A 20,611-nucleotide genomic window follows, 5' to 3' on the forward strand; every position below is an offset into this window, starting at 1 on the left:
AACTGGTGTTTAAAATGCTTTCATCTTTTCTTCCCGGGGTTACTATGTTTGTTTCTTTTCTTTTCTTTTTATTTTACTTTAAGATCTGGGATACACGTGCTGTACGTGCAGGTTTGTTACATAGGTACACATGTGCCATGGTGATTTGCTGCACCTCTCAACCCGTCATCTAGGTTTTAAGCCCCGCATGCATTAGGTATTTGTCCTGATGCTCTCCCTCCCCTTGTCCCCCAGCCCTGACAGGCCCCAGCATGTGATGTTGCCCTCCCTGTGTCCATGTGTTCTCATTGTTCGACTCCCACTTATGAGTGAGAACATACAGTGTTTGGTTTTCTCTTCCTGTGTTAGTTTGTGGAGAATGATGGCTTCCAGCTTCATCCATGTCCCTGCAGAGGACATGAACTCATTCTTTTTTTATGGCTGCATAGTATTCCATGGTGTATATGTGCCACTTTTCTTTGTCCAGTCTATCATTGATGGGCATTTGGGTTGGTTCCAAGTCTGTGCTATTGTACATAATGCTGCAATAAACATACGTGTGCTTGTGTCTTCATAATAGAATAATTTATACGCCTTTGTGTGTATACCCAGTAATGGGATTGCTGGACCAAATGGAATTTCCGGTTCTAGATCCTTGAGGACTCCCCACACTGTCTTCCACAATGGTTGCACTAATTTACACTCCCACCAAGAGTGTAAAAGTGTTCCTATTTCTCCACAGCCTCGCCAGCATATGTAGTTTCTTGACTTTTTACTGATCGCCATTCTAAGTGGCACGAGATGGTATCTCATTGTGGTTTTGATTTGCATTTCTCTAACGACCAGTGATGATGAGCTTTTTTTCATGTTTGTTGGCCACATGAATGTCTTCTTCTGAGAAGTATCTGCTCATATCCTTTGCCCACATTTGATGGGGTTGTTTGTTTTTTCTTGTAAATTTCTTTAAGTTTCTTTTAGATTCTGGGTATCAGACCTTTGTCAGATGGACAGATTGCAAAAATTTTCTCCCATTCCGTATGTTGCCTGTTCACTCTGATGATATCTTCTTTTTCTGAGCAGAAGCTTAAATGTGTAGAAATTTGTTTGATTATTCCCTCGGTAATATTCTACCTGTTTTATCTTGGGCAAGTGACACTCTTACGTGGTTCAGTTTCTTTATCCATAAGCATGGAGATAATAACACTACTTCACGGAGATCTTGTGAAAGGTAATTGAAGCAATTACCTGTAAAGCACTTAGAAAAATGCCTGGCACAGTCACCATTCAGTCAGTGGTGCCTCTTTTTATTACTATAGCAATGCCTGGCTTAATTGACACCAACCCATATGAGTATCAGCTATATGGGTGGTAATGAAAGGGAGTGCAATTAACTGGCAAGGTCAGAAGTAGGGTAAGTTCATTCACTCTTCTGGTTAGCACGTGCCACCTGGACTCTACCAATGTTCAAGGGATTGTTATTTTCAGTGATAATAATTTTAATTAAGTCATCAACTTTACCATTGAACTGAATACGTTGTTGTCCCCAGTCATATCAAATGATGAAGAAACATCTCTTAAGATCCAGGAAAAACTACTGACTTAACAGTGTAGTCACTAATCAAAGGCAAAGGTATTGATTAATGGAATCACGAAAACGTCTCATATTTAAGTGGATATTTTACATGTGGGAAAAACACACAGATCTCTGCAGCAATGTTTTGGTGCAGAAAGCTTGTATTAGGGGATTTCCAGACAAATAAAACCAATAGGATATTTATCCATCTATCTGTCGAGAGAGATTTATTGTAAGAAACTGATTCATGTGATTATGGAGGCTGGCAAGTCCTAAATCTGCAGGGTGGGCTGGCAGCCTAGAGTCCCAGGTACAAGCTGAGGTGACAGTTTAAGTCTAAAGACCATGAGGCTGAAGACCCATGGGAGAGCCGATGTTGCAGTTCAAGTGTGAAGGCTGTCTGTTGCAGAATTTACTCTTGCTTGGGGGAAGTCAGTCTTTTTGGTCTATTCAGGCCAATATGGAGGGCAGTCTGTTGTACTCAGATCCATTGATTTCAATGTTAATCTTACCGAAAAGGACATTCACACAAACATTGAGAATAAAATTTGACCACATATCTAGGTACTGTAACCCAACCAAGCCGAGTTACCTAGATCTCTATCTTTGCTTATTTGGGAAAAAAATCTCCCCCTGGTTGGAAAGACAAGACGAGACAAGACATGAAATTGGCCATCACAGAGCTAAATGTTGATCATCGGGTAATGACTGTATAACCCTAACCTGAAAATTTTCCCCACTCACTGCTTCCCACCCTGTCTCTCACCAATCTGCAACAGACTAAACACATGCTCCCCAACTTACAATGGAGTTAAGTCCAGTTAAACCTATCACAAAGGTAAATAATTTTAAGTTGAACCATGCTAAGTTGGAGTCCATCTGCATTGGACACAATTGTGCAACATGGAATGGCTATGCATTTGTTTCAGACAGCTATTGAAACACACAATTGAGCTCAGGCATGGTTGAATTTGCTAACTGCTGCTTGAAGAAACTCCCGTGGCTGCACGAGAAAATCAGGTTTCTTGTATACATTTGCAGGAAGGCTAACTTGATGCTTTTGCTTTTACACCTCTGAATTTATCACGTTGCCTTCAGGGAAAGATCAAACTACGTAAAGACTTGTTGTGAAGGGGAGGCTCACCTCAGACTGTCTACCTACGTATTCATGCGTTGAAGGTGCCATCACCGCAGTATGAGAGAGGATGGCAGGAGACAACGTTCAAGTGCTTGGGTTCTGGACTCAGACTGACGTGGATTTGAATTTCTGCTCTTCCATTTATCAGCTGTGTGATCACTGGACACGTTTGTTAGTTACTGTGTTTCTTGTCTGCCAAAAAGTTGAGGCTAAAATATCTACACCATAAAGAGTTATTGGGAGGAGTCAATGTGATATGCAGATCATGGAGGAAACAAAATCTGACATTCTCATGGGTTTAACACGGGGACTCAGACAGCTTTGTAGAGAAATAATTCCTTTTAAGTGCAGAACAGGAAAGGGGACTGTACCCAAGAGGTCCCGATGGGTCGTGTGGACTAGCCACAGAATTCAGCAATGGTCTCATAGGTTGTCATGGGCCAGTCTCTTATCTAACATAGGTTCATTTATTTATCTGTTCATTCAACAAAGATCTGAGATCTACTACACTCACAACTTCCTGCATGTTCTAGTTACATTGGGAAGTACAGATTTGTAAATTTGGACATGTTTCAGAGTGAAAGGGGATGCTGTTAAGAATTACTAAGGGACAACAGGTGAAATCAGGACACATGGTCACTATACTAGGGAAAATGTCTGGGATAAGGAAAAAGAGGAAATAGCCACCCTTTACAGCTTCTTCTGTGCCCCCACTCACTTCCACACTCCTTCCCCCTTATTGCAGAGTGACAGTCTAATGAAAGGGGAAGACTATTATATTGCATCAAGAATCAGGGCCAATCATATTTTGGAGAAAGCTTTGTACTGAAGTAAGTGTTTTTATTGTCTCAAATTACCATAGTGGGTTAATTTTGTCAGACACATGTGCCTGAAAGTGAAAAAGCCCCACAACAATCAAATTGAAAAAAAAAGGAGAGTCGTCCTAGTTTTTTTAATTGGTCACTATCATTTTATTAAACTTGTGGACAAATGTAAACCTAAAAGAGCCAGTCTTTCCAGATGGATCCCAGTGACTGAGCCTAAATCTAAACTAGAGCCAAGCAAGCTGCCACGTGCAGACTAGAGCTCACACATGTACTAGGAATTCCCCAAAAGCCCATACCTCTATCTAACTCTGCAACTTTCAGAGGTCACCTGAACCAACCAGCCAGAGCTCACCTGCCCCTGCCAATCAGGGCTCAGTCGTGTTGACCAATCAGAGATCAACTGAGTCAACCAATCAGAACTAATTTTGAATCCTTTATTTGCATGAATGGACTGTACTGAGAACCTCGATGGGAACTTTCTCTATAAAAGCCATATCCTCTTTTAGTTCTCTGGAACTTCGCCTTTGTTTTACACTGAAGTCTGCCCCTCCCTGGTGTGCAAGCTGTTCACAGGAATAGTCTCTTTCCTCCAAATTCCTTTTCAGAGAACTTGCCTTCATAATATGATGCCAGAGGTAGGAGACATGCTTACTCACAGCTTTGGATTCAAATCTTTAATTCACCACAATTACAATAAAACGAAAAATCAAACAAAGAAATAAAAAGTGGACAAAAACCTCAAACTAATTTTCTCCTCAATTTACAAGGCTGAACAGCTAGGAGGGCATTTATTGGTTCAGGACTGGTCACCTGCTCACATTCTGAGCCAGTGGCTCAGGCCCAGGGCTGAAGACACTTCATTAGTTGAGCCAGTGGAGAGTGGGGTTTGGGTGCTCTCATTGGATACTTCCATCGTAAGTGATGCATACTCACAGGACATTAAGCTTTGCATTAAAAAAGATTGTAGACTGGGAAACAATAGAATTAGACAAATGTGAATGAGTTAGAGTCCTTACTTTATTTTCTCGGAAGCTTGAAAGGGGTGCTGTTCATTGAATTTTTGATTTAGCTATTTCTGCACTGTGGGTTTTTGTTATGTATTTAAATGAATTGTATAATAGAGGTAATGTTGAAAAAAGATTATATGAGGTCTGCTTGTTCCATTAGTAATGTTTGCCCCGTTTGATGCTTCTAAATTGTTATTTACAGCAGTAAACTGTTTCCCTTTGTGTGTGTGTGTGTGTGTGTGTGTGTGTGTGTAATGTGATTTAATTTATAATATTTCAGGTATGAGTTTTGTAACCAAGTTTATAAATGTTCTCAGATTTTTGTAGTGTGCATCCTTCAATGGGTATCAACATCATGTTTTATTTTCTTGAAATAAGTTTTCTCTGCCAGGCACAATAGCTCATGCCTGTAATCCCAGCAGCTTGGGAGGCCAAGGCAGGAGAATCACTGGAGTCCAGGAGTTGGGACCAGCCTGAGGAAACATAAAGAAACCATGTTTCTCACACACACACACATACACACACACAAAATACAAAACTTAGCCAGGTGTGGTGGTACGCGCCTCTACTCCCAGCTACTTGGGAGGCTGAAGAGGGAGCATCACTTGAAACCAGGAGGCAGGGGTTGCAGTGAGCTGAGACCGCACCACTGCACTGCAGGTGTGCCACAGAGCAAGACTCTGTGTACCTTTGTCTGAGGTAGGCAACCCGGCCACTTAGGCGGGCAGACGCCCTCTGTGATTGGCTGACATGATTCCAAGCAACAGGATCATCCGATCACCTTCAATGGAGGGAAGATTGCTGAGAGGCGCCCTTGGTGACACTTCATCCAATCAGATGTCGAGTTGGAATGTGACGTAGAGCCATGCGACCATACCAAAGTGCCCCCCACTTCCCTGGTCCCCAACCGTCACTCTCTGTTCTTGCTATCTAATGGCCGCTGCTTCCGCCATGGCTGAGGCTTCCTCTGAGACAACCTCGGAGGAAGGCCAGAGCATCCAGGAGCCCAAAGAGGCCAACTCCACGAAGGCCCAGAAGCAGAAGAGGCGAGGGTGCCGAGGCTCCCGCAGGCGCCACGCCAACCGCCGTGGGGACAGCTTCGGGGACAGCTTCACCCCCTATTTCCCCCGGGTGCTGAAGCAGGTTCACCAGGGCCTCAGCCTTTCCCAGGAGGCCGTGAGTGTCATGGATTCTATGATCCATGACATATTGGACCGCATCGCCACCGAGGCTGGTCAGCTGGCCCATTACACCAAGCGCGTGACCATCACCTCCCGGGACATCCAGATGGCCGTGCGACTGCTGCTGCCGGGGAAGATGGGCAAGCTCGCCGAGGCCCAGGGCACGAATGCCGCCCTCAGGTACACCAAAAGCAAGTGAGCTGTCTCAGGAGCGCCTGAGCACCTGGGAAACCCAAAGGCTCTATTCAGAACCACCGCCCGTGGCCCTATAGGCCAGTGGCCCGCCAAGGGGGGGACCCCACCGGAGGTTGGTGTGGGTGGCACCGTTCCAGCTTGGGGGGCATGTGCCGTGTGGCCTCCTGCGGTTTTTCAAGCATTTTTCCCACAGTGCAAAACACTGTCAACTCCAATATATCTGTAGTGCAATATGCTCCAAGGAAAAGTAGGGGGTGTTTCCGTAATCGTGTTTCGTGTCCTCAGTTTCCCAAATGGCCGTTTTTCTTAGTTATCTTTCTAGGTTATCTTTATGATGATGTTATCAATGTACTGATGTTTACCTTTTTCACTCTCATTCTCCTACGACTGGATGGTGGGATTTTCCAGAACTTCATTATGTGCGATATGGCAACAGAGAAAGTGAATATGCTGATACAAGAAGCAAGGTAACCCTCCTAAATGTGTTCAGCATCTCTCTCATCATGAATCCATGTAAATAAGCAAACGAGGCCCAGTTACAGTATATATATGGCTAAATAAAATTTTCAAGAATCCATTCGTTTTCCAGCTTCCCCGACTCTGAGACCACTATTGTAATTCATTCTCTTTTTGTACTGACAGTAATTTTTTCATTTCTTTTTGAACAGAAACCTTCCTTACTTCCAGGTGTGTGTCAGTAGGATTACGGAGTGTCCACGGAAACAGCTCATGCCCTAGTGTACAGTGGTACAGCCAATGAGTGACCTGCAGTCTATGAGCAACAGTCATTGACCCAATGTGGGGGGAGTGACCCAAGCTGAACCCACAGCAGCCTTCCTGTTATATTCAACCTGGTGTTTAAAGGAACGGCAGTGTGATTCTTTACCTGATGTTTTTGTTTGCATTGCTTGTAATCATGATCTTTTAGGGATATGAATCCAAAGCTAAGATTAGAATATGTACCTTGTCCCTAACATCAAGTTATACAGAACATTGGCAACCATTAGTAGAAGTCAGATAAGGCTTATTTCCTCAAAAGATTAGCATATTTATATTCATGTTAATATTAATATAGGCTACCTTTCATTGTGCTCTCTTCTGGGTCCCAAGTCTTGGCATTTTAAGCATTTTTTTCTATAAGTGTATTGCTGAATTTCAGAGCAGGTGCTCACTTTCCCATTGCTTTCCTTTTCCATTGATTTCCAGTCGCCCGAGTATGTGGACAAGAGAACATACTCTGGGACTGCAACCCACAGGAATTTATTATGTTGTGCCTTGAAGCTCAACATGTGGCCATTTTTGTTAAATGTTTCCCGTAAATTTTGAAACATCTCATAAACAACCCTTCTCCTTCATATGTAGAAACCAGTAAAGGATGGCACTCTCAGTCAAACCATGAAACAAAAGCTGGATAAATGACAAAAATCAAAATTTTCTTGAGCCCATCAGAAGTGGGAAAGAACCACCCCAGAGGGCCCAACACATAGCCACATAGATTATTCCACCATTTAAAGAGGACCCCTTGGTCAAGAGGGAAACAGGGTCAGGGCAAGATGGTAGCCAGAGCTTCCCTGAGTAGTGCAGATGGGAAGAGGGGAAGGTCACCTCCAGAGCTCCACTTGGGATCCATAGAGAAATGATATAGAACCAAGAAGTCCACTCATTGGGATCTGTTACTTTCTGTTTTTCCAGATTATTAGAAAAATATTACAGAAATAGCTGAAGAGAAATGTTATGAAAATAGTTGAAGTTGTGCTTATTGCACGAGGAGACCAAGAAAAACCCCACAAAATCAGCTGCAAGTAAATCCTTCTGGATGGTGCCACCAAATGTTCCTACAAGTCCGGAACAACCCTTGCCAAACCAAAGACCCTTGCCAGAACCCTGCTTCTTCCCAGAGACAGAGCTGTGTACCTGACAAAACACCACATCTCACTCAGTGACTTATTTCTCATTATGCTAATTGTTTTGCTGTAAAATGCCAATGTTTCTGTGAATTAAGACATACGAATAAATTTCTGAAGTTACCCTTGCATATGTGTGTAATTAGACAAGTCCTTTTGAGAAACCAAATCCACTGAGATATTTTACCTTGGAATATGTGTTTTCCCTTTGTAAATTCAGAAATCAAAGAGGGCCATTAGTAAAACAGGGTTAACAATGAAATCTGATTTGGTTGTGGGGAGTGAAGAGTGAGGGGGCAAGGGGACTGATGCCGGTGAATTACAGGAAGAAAGAGGAAAGGGGTGGATTGATGTGAAGATCGGAGGAGGAAGCTCACACATTTGATATGGTATTTCTTTGGGTCATTGAGCAGAAGCGGAACCTATTAGGCAATCATGATGTCATGCTGTGACTTAAAGAAACGCAAACTACGGGAAAGACCTTTACTGCTTAAACAACAAATAAGAAGTATCAATGTAGGGAAAACAGCATGAATGGGATAAAGAGAGTCCAGTCAAACATTTGATCAGCCTTCCCTGTAACCTGGAGTTCATTTGAAAATATAAGCAAGGACACAAACACGGCAGAGAAAACTACATCAAAAAGTCTAAGGAACAATACCTATTCTAGGCTCCTTCGTAATGAAATCTCACTTGTTTAGATTTACCTGATTCTGCTCTTCTTCAGGCTAGAATCTTTTGTTTAAGAAAACCTTCATGACTGGCCTCAGTGCATCATGGGGATGATGGAATGCCGTCCAATGGAGCAGCACAAGCTCCACTCAGATCCGTGTCAGCCAGTGAGGCAACTGCAGCCAAGGGGCCATGGCCCAATGTGTGATCAGGTTTCCCGGTCTGAAATAGGTAGAGTTAGTTGTCCAGGGATGTTCAATGGGAGTTGAAGGGGAAACCTGTGATTACATGGGTGTGCTTCTTTGGCTCTTCGATGGGTTGTATGCTTTCAATGCTTCTGATGGAGGTGTATTCTATCAGTTTTCTAGGGCCGCTGAAAAATATTCCAGAGACTGGCTGACTTAAACACTATGTATTTTTTATCTCACAGTTCTGGATTACAATTGTCACCATTTTGTAAGGAGACCAATCCTGTTGGATAAGGTCAACCCTCATAACTTCACTTTAACCAGATGACCTGACTAAAGACTCTCTCCAAATAAGGTCACATTCTAAAACACTGGGGGCCAGGACTTCTACCTCTGAATTGTAGGGAGACACAACTCCATACATACTAGTACACCTTCTGCACCACTCCGTGACACAAATTAACAACCTCACATAGAAAATACATTCATTTCATCACAACATCCCTGAAGACTTAACTCACTCCAACGTCAATTCTCTAATATCTCACCTGATAATCTTCTATATCTGGAATGGGTGAGCCTCCAGGTATGATTCATGCTGAGGCGGGAATTCTCTCCACCACTGCATCTGTGAAGCTAGACAAGTTATCTCCTTCTGAAAGACAGTTGTGAGACTGATACCAGATAGGGCTTATCATACCAAAAGCAGGAAATCCGAAAAACTACTGGAGTACGTGGGCCCTAAGCACTTTTGAAACCTAATGGGGGCAAATTCCGTTACATTCTAAAGATGGAAAAGATTCTGCTTGGGCTCAGTGCTCTGTCCTTCAGGCCCAATGGGGTAACAGCTTCACACCCTAAGCCCTGGGCAGCCGGGTGGGGGCTCTCCCCCCAGCCTGGGCTGCTGCAGCCCATCCCTCTGAAACCGAGGAGGTGGGACAAATGCCTGGAACTCAGGAGGTGACCTCCATTTCTGGGACCAAGAGAGAGATGGCCCAGTCCCCTAGTACCGTGCCCCTGGTTCTTGGGGGCAGTGACGGCCATGCCAACCTCTGACCCAACTTTGGAGTCCTTCCTCCCTGTCTCGAAAATGAAGAAATGGTCACAGCTGGGTGCCTCAGTCAGTCCCTTTCTTGCCGGTACAGTCCAGGAACTCTAACAGCCTCCTTGAATTTCGTCCCATCTTTGTCCCGTTCAGTCCAGTCTGGCAATGTTTTTCTGCTGTAAAATTCTCAAAAAATTCTTGGCTTCCCACGGAATTCACATGCGTCCAGGCCATCAGACAAGAAGTTGTCTAAAGATCTTTCGTGAATACCAATATCTTCCATATTTCAATTCCTAACTTCTGCAGAGACAGTTGATTGGATCTGTGAGACACATACCTCCCCTCTTTAGCTAACGGTCTTCCAGGCACACCCTTGCACCTATTTCCAGAGCAAGGTATCTGCATCTTTTGAGTACCTTCTGAGTCATCCAATGCTGACTTCCTTTTACTCAGTTCTTCCTTTGCTAATTTCTCTCTCTTCTCTCCCATTCACTATACAGATCTAGGAGAAACCAGATTAAATCCTAAATACTTTTCTCAGTTTGTCAGTGTAGTGGCCAAGATTCCCCCCTTGTCCTCTTAAGTTTCACTGAAAACTCAAGTCACAAAAGGCAGATCCATAGGACATAAGGCATACCAACTTATACAATGTGTCTCCCTGGGAGTCTTTAGTGTTAATAGCCAAAGATACATGGGAAATTATTATCCATTTTTATGCCTTGGCTTAAAGGAATATGGACATCTGTGTAGAAATATGATGGGACAAAAAGACTATGATCTAATGCGAATAGGCTGAGTGGGGGAAACCTGGCAAGGCCTGTGTGTCTAGACTCTGCTTGGCCTATCTGAGCACACAGTCCTTCCTCCCGGATACGGGGCAGGACCCTCTCTGGAATGGGGGTCTTCTGACTTCCATTCAAAGAAGATAGGTTAGATCATTTCTTCATGGACAGTTTTTACATGAAAATGTGGAAGATATTACAATATCATTTCTTGGTTTTGTGACTATAAAAAAGAGCTTCTGGTTTCTAGAACCCACCTTCGGGAAGAAGGATTCTGGTTCCTGGGTTTAGCCCCTGAGGTTGAATGGGACTGAGAGACAGGAGGACCAAGAATGTCAGAGAAAATCTTTTTTATCTGAAAATACTTCTGAAGCCCCCATTTTTTGGTATTGTGCCCTGAACTCCAAAACTAGAAATCAGCTACATGTGCAAGTTCATCACTTACAAATTCTGCTTTCCTCAAAGACACTAAGAACACAATACAGCCCAAATCTTTGCCACTGTAAAACTAGGATGGCCTTTCCTCATGCTTCCAATAACCTCTTCGTAGTCTCCGTCTGCAAACACGCCACAAGCACCTTTAACACACATAGTTCTAGCAACATTTCGGTGATCATGATACATGTATTCTCTAAGTCAGAGATCCTTTCTCTACAGCAAATAATTCTTCTTAGCCCTCGTTTCAATTGCATTTGGTGTTCATATTTCCCTCCGCTGTTTCCTAAAGTCACTCTAGGCTTCTTGTGTCATGCATGTCAAAACACTTCCAGCCTGTATGCATTACCTAGTTCCGAGGCCTCGTCCAATCTTTGGAGGTTCCTTATTGCATCATCCCACTGCTTGGCAACAGAGTCTCTAGTAGTTTGCTAGGGCTATTCTGAAAAAGTACCACAGATCTGATGGCATAAACAGCAGAAATTTATTGTTCACGGTTCAGCAGGTTGGAAGTCCAAATCAAAGTGCCAGCTGTGTTGGTTCCTTCTGAGTAGTAAGAGGGAAGGATCTCTTCCAGGGATCTTTCCTTGGCTTGTAAGTGGCCCATTTATCCCCATGCCACTTCACGTTTTCTTCCCTGGACGCATGTCTCTGTGTCTGAATTTCCCCTTATGGTATGCAGAATGCATTCTAGTCATTTTGGTTAGAGCACACCTTAATGAATGTAATTTAACTTGAGTACCCCAGTTAAGGACCTACTTCAAGTAGGAGAGAGATGAGGGGTCAGGAGTCTAATATATATATTGGGGACTGAGGGATCTTAGGCTGCAGACTCCTTATGGAAATCTAATGACTGATGATCTGTCACTGTCCCCCATCACCCCCATATCGGACCGTCTAGTGGCAGGAAAACAAGCTCAGGGTTACCACTGATTCTACAATATGGTGAGTCGTAAAATTATTTCATTACACATTAAAATATAATAATAATAGAAATAAAGTGTACAATAAGTGTAATGCACTTGAGTCATCCCAAAACCATCACCCCCAATGCCATTCCATGGAAAAAATTGTCTTCCCTGAAACTAGTCACTGGTGTCAAAAAGGTTGGGGACCGCTGGTCTACCCAGCGTGTGCTGGCAAACTGCTATCCCCCGAGTCATTTGTTATCTTAGCCTATGTCTGGGAACAAGAGGAAACTCTGGGATTGCTTCTTCTCTGAAGAGGATATGGCATCCAGTCGCTATTGAACTTCAGTACAATATTGAGAATTCTAATTGTCAATAACCAATAGATTGATCCTCTAAATTAACCCGCTAAATTATATTAAAAGGATTTTAGAGATTTCTCATTCTAACCAGTTGATAAAAAGGTTAAACATATAAAAAGACACATCATGGTGTGACAGTTAGCCTTAAAATTTGGCTTGACAAAAGTGACGAGCAAAAAATCTGACCAAAACAAAGATAACCTCCTGTGTCTGCTCAAACTGCCCCATGTGGGAATAACAACAAAGGCCACTCCACCTTGTGAAATCTATTTTCCTCCTCTTTGGAGACACCTCATGCATCCTTGGTTGTGTCATAATCTTGGTGAAACTTACCTGAAAAGGTACCTTTACTTTAACGAAAACAAAACAAACAAGAAAAGGTGAAAACCCAGAAATATCAGCTGCTTGTCTTCTGCTGCTTGTGGGCCATAGTGGCCTCGGCTGCTGTGGGATCTTTCATGTTCAGGCATTCATTGGAGGTTGTCTCAGAGGAAGGCTCAGCCATCTTGGAGGCAACTGCCAGTGGATGTGAGGAACGGACAATGATGGCTGACCACCAGCGGGATGGCCTTTTGTAGTCACCCCATGGCTTATGTCACGGGCCAGCAACTCCACATCTGACTGAATGAAGTGCCACGCAGGGAGCCTATCAGCAAGCCTCCTGGCCTTGGAGGCGATTCGATGGTCTCGTTGCTTGGCAATCACTGTGGGTGTCGGTCGACCTGCTCCCCAACACTCACCTGCCGCAGAGCAAGTGCTCAACCCTGCCAACTCTCAACTAGAGCGAGGTCTGCGTTCCACGCATTCTTCCACCCTTGTTCTCTGACTACTCCAGTTCCAGACAAGTTGGGTTGTACTAGGATCCTCTCTAAATCATATTCCTCATCTGTTTATTCCTTATTTCTTCCTCCAGGAGCCCACTCTCTCTTGGAAGAGCTGAGGATCCTCGCTCAACATGGTGTGTCAGGGTTGCCAAAGACCTGATGTGTGAGGCTTCTTTGCCTTTTCATAGGTAGGGTGAGCAAGCAATTTCCTGTTGAATATATGTGAGGGCAGCATTTGGAGGGAATGGGGAACTACGAATAATTGGGCTGGCACAATAGGCAAAATCAGGATGTGTGGCCACCCTTCTGGGGAAAGATCTGGCAATAGAATAAGAACGTCCCTTGTGTTTTGGGACAAAAAGATTCGTGGGCAATGAGACTGATTTACTTTTAATAGCATCTTTTTCATGATTTCTTCTCTTTGACATTCTGGTGCTTTTGTTTTCTGGAGGCAACTGGTGTGGCTAGGCTGCATTAACATGGGAAAGCGACACAACACCTTGAGAACGTCTGTTTGGGTCATAGGACTCATGTAAGCTAGTGGGACCGGACTCGACAGAAAGAGTGATTGAGGGCATCGATTTGGGAGTCAGAGGAGACCTGGGCTGAGACCCCAGCTGTATCTCTTACTAGCTGTACTGCGATTGGCAAGTGGCTTGACCTCTCTGAGCCTCAGTTTCCTCCTCTGTGGAACAGGGGTCTAGAAGGTGGTTGTGAAGATCCAGGGTGATGATGCAGACACGGTGCCAGATACATAGTCAGCAACCAATGAATGCCGGCTGTACCTGGTCCCAATTCCGAGATTTGTGCCCTCAGGCAATGGCAGGTGGTGGGGGTGGGATCCAGTGCCAGACAGCTGAATGAACACGCTCTCCTGGCTACCTGGGCCCCATCTGTTTGCTTCGAGCTGACAGTGAGATAAGGGACAATGACTTTCCCGTCCTGAGCCACATGTTAGTGAAGCGGTAGAGATAATGCTGCTCTGAGTCCTGACGGGAAGTTGCTGGGGAGCAACTTTACAGTGCTCCCGGCTTGGGGCACTACCCACTCGGGGCTTTGTGACAAGTTATTTCCACTCACTGCCACAGAACCTGGCTTCCCATACCACCTCCTTGCCCCCACCCACCGTCTCCCTAACTGAATTTTATTCACTTTTCAGGTCTTGGCTCAAATCCTGACTCCCCTGTGAAGATGTCCTGACCCTCCCAGCCTAGAGCCACTGCTCGTTTCATGAGTCTCCAGATCTCCAACTGTGACATGGGCATACTTGTTTGCCACATCCCCACAGACGGATTGTGATGAGGAAGGAAAGAGAGAGTCGATATAGCATGCTAAGTGCAGTGTCTGGTGCGGGCCTGTGGTGAGTTCCCCGCCTACACTTCTTCCTCCCCTCCGAACCCCCAGCATGCAGGCATGGCGGCCTTGATCACATGCTGCCTTCTCTTGATAATCATTGGGGATCATTCCTGTGCTAGTTGCCCCTCAGTTGCAATGTCACAGACCATGGGGGCCACATCTCATCCTTTCTCACCTTCCAGCATCCAGCACTACAATAAAAGCCATCATAACCATTTTTCATTGGGCACCTTAGGGTAACATGTGGCAGGCACTCGGCTATGTGTGTAATGCACATGAGTGTAGTCCTCACTCTTTCCCCTCCTAGCCCTCTTCCAGGATGTGCAGGCATTGATTCTCCTTTGAATTATATTAGACAAATTGTGTCAACCGCTACCAAGGTCGCTTCATGAGTAAGTGGCCTCGACAGACATAAAGTCCTATGCTAGATTAAGTTTCTAGTGAGTGCCTGAGAATGGGTGGTTGGCAGGAAGGACAGACGTAGAGCCCAGAATACAAGTGCCTTCCCCATGACTTTTACCCGGCAGAGGCAGGGATTCGAGTTCTTCCTGGTTTAGACTTGGGAGGGTATATGTGTCCAGGAATTTATCCATTTCTTCTAGATTTTCTAGTTTACCTGCATAGAAGTGTTTATAGTATTCTCTGACGGTAGTTTGTATTTCTGTGAAATCAGTGGTGATATCTCCTAATGAATGTAATTTAACTTGAGTATCCCAGTAAAGAAACCATCTTTAAGTAGAATAGAGATGAGAGGTTAGGAGTCAAACTCACGTATTTGGTGTGGCAGAGGCAGCGGGGAGCACAACTGAACAAACAGAACATAGGAATCCTGAGTTGTAGATGTGGATATCTCCAGCCTCTTCCAGTATGTTAAGAGAACACTGGTGACTGATGAAGGGAAATAAGGTGATCCCTACCCATGTTTTTTAAAGTCTACTTGAAAGTTGAGTAATTGTATTGTATATATAATATATATGCATATACATATACATATATATATATATATGTATATATATATATATATATTTGTCCTTTTCCAGCTCAAAAGGGAGAGAAGATACTCTGTGATTTCAATCCTCAGAAATGTATGACTATTTGCTTTAAAGTCCTAGATTTGGCTAATTTTGTTAAGTGTTCCATTTGCACTTTTATGATAACTTGTAAACTCCACCATTCAGTAGTAGGTACAAACCTATAAGGGTCATCACTTTCAGCGAAACCATGTGACCAATGTTGGATAGTGTCCAAAAATGAACGCTTTTCTGTAGCCCATCAGAAGGAGCTTACAACCCTCCAGGAGAGATAAAACACAAAGTTTCTTTAACTTCGGTAGACCCCTGTGACCTCAAGTAAATGAATGGGGGTAAGGGAGGATACTAGGGGAAGCATCCTTGAGTAGCCCAGGCAAGAAGGGCACAATGCTAGATTGAGGAGTGGGAATAAATGTCTGTGTTTTCAAGGCCTAAATCACAAGAATTCTGGTGGGAAATGATATCTTCAAGACTCTTCTTTGGATCATGAGGGTGAAAATTTAGGACAAAGAGCCACCTCAGAAAATTCATTACTTATTTTTATTCTGGAGAAGTAAATGAACATCATGAAAAGACTTGGAAAAACATTTTTTTCCTAAGCAGACTAGGAGAAACTACTACAATTCAACTGCAAGCCAATCCCTCTGGGTGGTGCCTTGAGTTTGTCTTAAACTATTGGAAAACAAAGGATCTCTGCGGGCATGTGCACACTTTCCAAAACAGAACTCTATGCATCAGAGGAAAAAAATATATAATTTCTCTACACATCACTTAATTTCCGTCATGCTCATTGCTACTGCTTCAAAATGCCAGTGTTTGTCCATACGACATTCAAAAATGCATCAGAAGCGGGCTGCAGACTTGAAGCCCAGAAGCTCAAAGTTGACTGACACTAATGAAATTTAGGAAGGAGTTGAGGGAAATGGGGTTTGATGTGGAAGATCCAAGGGGAGGTGAGGACATCTGATTGTTGACTTCAGCGGGTGCAGGAGGAAAAAGGACGCCTAGGGAGGCTTCGTGATCTGATGGTGAGGTTTACGGAAAGGACAATCTAAAAGGAAATGGTTTTACTGCTTCTGTGACAAAGTATAACTGTCAACCTAGAAAACAGATGTATTAATACGACAGACGTAACCAACCAGGTTGTTTCTTACAACAGGACCCATATTATGGACATCATTTAAATATCTAGGGCCCGGCACAGTGCCTGTAATCCTACCACTTCAGGAGTCCAAGGCGGGTGAATCAACTGAGTTCAGGAATTCGAGATCAGCCAGGGCAACATGGGGAAACCCATCTCTACCAAAAATACAAAAATACACACACACACACACACACACACACACAAATTAGCCAGGCGCAGTGACACATGCCTGCAGTCTCAGCTTCTTATGGGGCTGAGGTAGGAGAATCGCTTGAACCCAGATTGTCCAGTCTACACTGAGCCGAGATGGCGTCATTGCTCTGCAGCCCGGGTGACAAAGTGAGACCCAGTCATAAGAAAAAACTAAAAAAGATATATAATGTAAAATACATATATGTAACATATATATATATATATATAAACTATATAAAAAGAATAAATAAATATCTTAGTATCACCCATCCACAAAATGTATGTGTTTTTGATGACATAAGTACATCATAAAGTTCAAGAATCAATACCTCTCCAAGCTCCCTAGAAACTGAAGTTATTACTCCAACTACTTCTAATGTATCTGATTCTGTCTGTTCTTTTCCAGGTTATATTGTTTTATTTCTGGAAATACCCACCTTCATGACTTGGAACTAACGCATCGTTGGGATGATGGAAACGTCCAATCAGAGGGGTCCAAGCCCCACTTTCCACTGGCTCAGTCCATGGCCATTGGCCCACAGTGCTTGTTCAAACAGTGTGGGATAAGGTCGCTCCTGTAGTCACTCCCTAAATTCCTCCGGTGGCCTGAAACCTGTCCTCTCTAGAACGCTGAGGTGTGTGCTGTCGTAGGCTCCATAGAGAGGGATGGATTGTCATTGGAGTGCCACATTTTAGGGGAGCCCTGAAAGAGGAGGTTGATGAGGGAATTTGGAACACTCGGGGGCCCCTAATCTGGAGGCTCAGATATTGAGACCAGGTTCTAGTCAAGCTACTATTAACAAGTACTGATTTCCCATATTCTCCTTAATGTTGTTCTGTGTGTCTGTTTATGTATGGCCAGGGCCCCAGAAGGGAGAAAGAGCATCTATAATGCTTAGAAACTCCATGCCACTTAAGGGCAATCACTGCGGCATGGAGAAGGAGGATCCACTAAATGGGAGAGGTCACCCTATAGTGATAGGTCCAACCTAAAACCATTAGAGAGCCTACCGCTTTGACCCAGAGAGTAAAGCACCTCTTCTTTTATGCACATGCTCCATGTGTACCACCCAGCAGCATCTCAAGAATTGTATGCTGAATAGGCCGCATCTCAGAAAGACTGCTCATTCCTGAATGCTCTTCCCGTTGGCCCATTGGTCGCATCTGTTTGCCCCTCCCTCTGGGCTCCCGACAAGCCTGTGATGGCTTTGACACATGGAGAATGGTGGACGTTAGCCTGTCCCAGAGGTAACCTTTCAGAGGACTAGAATGGCCTCTGCCTGGCTGTCTGAGAGCTCTGAGCTGCCACGAAAGAAGCCCACCTCTCCTGCTGGAGACACCACAGTGATATGCTCTGAGGGGCCTTGGAGAGGTGCAGAGGCCCAGCTGAGCTCAGCCCTCCAGCCAGCCCCTCCAAGGCATCAAGTATGCCAGTACAAGGTGTCTGGGACCTTCCCCAATGACCTTAGGCATAGGGTGAATAAATAGCACTGAGTGCGGCTCCTCTGGCTTCTATTTGCAAGGGACACTTAAGCACAGTGGAGCCTGTCTCCTCATTGCATCATAGGTCACATGGGTGATCTTGTGGCCTGGTTCTCACTCACGGATCTGTAGGAGTGAAATGCCCATCGTGGGCTCCCAAGGGATTCAACATCTTCTAGGCTAACAAATGTCTTCCAAGGAGGCTCGCTTGACCCGGGCTTGTTCTACAGTTCATCTCGAGGATGGCCTGTGGGTAGGTCATCAGCTACTATTTTGGGGGATACTGGAGCCACTGTGGAATTCCCTGGGACAGTTGCCTTGAGGTTTAGCGTGACTCATCCCCTCTCCATTTCTCCCCCTGTCCTGGAGCGACTATATCCCCTTTCCTAAGCTCGAGGACCCGCTGAATCCTATGTCTTTATTGCGTACAGCTTTCTCTCAAGCAGGCCTGCCTCTGCCGGGTAAAAGCACGGGGCAGGCAGTCGTACTCTGGGCTCTACATCTGTCCCTCCTGCCAACCACCCTTTCGCAGGCATTCATTAGAAACTTAATCTAGCATAGTACTTGATGCCTGTCAGGGCTACTTACTCATGATGCGACCTTGGTAGCGGTTGACACAATCTGTCTGATATAACTCAAAGGAGAATCAATGCCTGCACATCCTGGAAGAGAGCTAGGAGGGGAATGAGTGAGGACTACACTTGTGTGCATTACCTACACAGCCGAGTGCCTGCCACATGGTACCCTAAGATGCCCAATGAAAAATGGTTACGATGGTGTTTATTGTAGTGCTGGATGCTGGAAGGTGAGGAAGGATGAGATGTGGCCCCATGGTCTGTGACATTGCAACTGAGGGGACAACTAGCACAGGAATGATCCCCAAGGATTATCTAGAGAAGGCAGCAGGTGATCAAGGCCGCCATGCCTGCATGCTGGGGGTCAGAGGGGAGGAAGAGGAAGAGGCAGGGAACTCACCACAGGCCTGCACCAGACACCGCATCTAGCATGCTACATGGACTCTCTCTTTCCTTCCTCATCACAATCCGTCTGTGGGGATGTGGCAAATAGTATGGCCATGTCACAGTTGGAGATCCTGAGATTCAAGGAGGGAGTAGTGGCTCTAGGCTGGGAGGGTCAGGACATCTTCACAGGGGAGTCAGGATTTGAGCCAAGACCTGAAAAGTGAATAGGATTCAGATAGGGAGACGGTGGGTGGAGGAAAGGAGGTGGTATGGGAAGCCAGGTTCCTTGGCCGTGAGGGGGAATAGCTTGCCACAAAGCCCCGAGTGGGTAGTGCCCCAAGCCAGGAGCACTGTAAAGTTGCTCCCCAGCAACTTCCCGTCAGGACTCAGAGCAGAATTATCTCCACCGCTTCACTAACATGTGGCTCAGGAGGGAAAAGTCATTGTCCCTTATCTCACTGTCAGCCCGAAGCAAACAGATGGGGCCCAGGTAGCCAGGAGAGCGTGTTCATACAGCTGTCTGGCACTGGATCCCACCCCCACCACCTGTGATTGCCCGAGGACACGAATCTCGGTATTGGAACCACGTACAGCCGACATTCATTGGTTGCAGACTATGTATCTGGCACCCCATCTGCATCATCACCCTGGATCTTGACAACCACCTTCTAGATCTGTATTCCACAGAGGAGGAAACTGAGATTCAGAGAAGTCAAGCCACTTGCGCAAGGCAATACAGCCAGTAAGAGGCACAGCTGAGGTCTGAACCCAGATCTCCTCTGACTCCCAAACCCGTGCCCTCAATCACTCTTGCAGTCGAGTCTGGTCCCACTAGCTCACATGAGTCCTAAGACCCAAACAGACGTTCTCACGATGTTGTGTCATTTTCCCATGTTAATGCAGCCTAGCCACACTAGTTGCCTCCAGGAAATAAAGTCACCAGAACTTCAAAGAGAAGACAAAAAAAAAGCTATTAAAAGTAAATTGGTCTCATTACCCAAGAACTTTAGTGTTTCAAACCCCAAAGGATGCCCTTATTCTATCCCCAGATCTTTCCCCTAGAAGGGTGGCCACGCGTCCTGATTTTGCCTGTTGTCCCAGCCCGATGATTCATAGTGCTGCATTTACTCTGAAAGCTGCCCCCATATGTATTCAACAAGAAATTATGTGCTCACCTTACCTATGAAAAGGCAAAGAAGCCTCACACATCAGGTCTTTGGGAACCCTGGTGCACCATGCTGAACGAGGATCTGCAGCTTTCTCAAGAGAAAGTGGGCTCCTGGAGGAAGAAATAAGGAATAAACAGATGAGGAGTATGATTTAGAGAGGATTCGTAGTACCACCGAGCTTTTTTGGAACTGGAGTGGTCGCAGAACAGGAGTGGAAGAATGCGTGGAATGCAGAGCTCGCCCTAGTTGAGAGTG

At 44.9% G+C, this 20,611-nt stretch overlaps 1 protein-coding gene and 1 long non-coding RNA gene across 5 annotated transcripts; one reads left to right on the forward strand and one right to left on the reverse strand.

The window, feature by feature from the left end:
- The first annotated feature begins 5,436 nt into the window (after positions 1-5,436).
- H2BW2 (H2B.W histone 2) lies at positions 5,437-7,935 on the forward strand. 3 transcript variants are annotated; one of them, NM_001388464.1, is made up of 4 exons: positions 5,437-5,885; positions 6,309-6,367; positions 6,569-6,587; positions 7,593-7,935. In NM_001388464.1, the coding sequence occupies exons 1-2, from the start codon at positions 5,476-5,478 to the stop codon at positions 6,343-6,345; spliced, it is 447 nt and encodes a 148-aa protein (NP_001375393.1). In that variant the 5' UTR covers positions 5,437-5,475; the 3' UTR covers positions 6,346-6,367; positions 6,569-6,587; positions 7,593-7,935. The 3 variants fall into 3 exon arrangements, with proteins under 3 accessions (NP_001375393.1, NP_001157888.2, XP_011529224.1); NM_001164416.4 differs by having other exon boundaries at positions 6,569-7,935; XM_011530922.3 differs by lacking the exon at positions 6,569-6,587.
- A 9,013-nt stretch (positions 7,936-16,948) lies between these two features.
- Positions 16,949-20,591, reverse strand: LOC107985662 (uncharacterized). Of its 2 annotated transcripts, none has more exons than XR_001755992.2 (3): positions 20,363-20,591; positions 19,201-19,400; positions 16,949-17,446 (listed from the first exon to the last, which is right to left on the reverse strand). It is a non-coding gene; the product is annotated as an uncharacterized LOC107985662 (long non-coding RNA). The 2 variants fall into 2 exon arrangements; XR_001755991.2 differs by having other exon boundaries at positions 20,368-20,586.
- Between the last annotated feature and the right edge of the window lie 20 nt (positions 20,592-20,611).

Source organism: Homo sapiens, chromosome X, assembly GCF_000001405.40.
Source record: "Homo sapiens chromosome X, GRCh38.p14 Primary Assembly".
In the NCBI taxonomy this organism is placed as follows: domain Eukaryota; kingdom Metazoa; phylum Chordata; class Mammalia; order Primates; family Hominidae; genus Homo; species Homo sapiens.

What these genes read in the sequence shown, in the direction of transcription:
- H2BW2 (XM_011530922.3), top strand. Translation starts at nt 5,458, where the DNA reads ATGGCCGCTGCTTCCGCCATGGCTGAGGCTTCCTCTGAGACAACCTCG. An exon ending in GGCACGAATGCCGCCCTCAG is followed by an intron (nt 5,886 to 6,308) that starts GTACACCAAAAG and finishes GGGATTTTCCAG; the next exon opens with AACTTCATTATGTGCGATAT.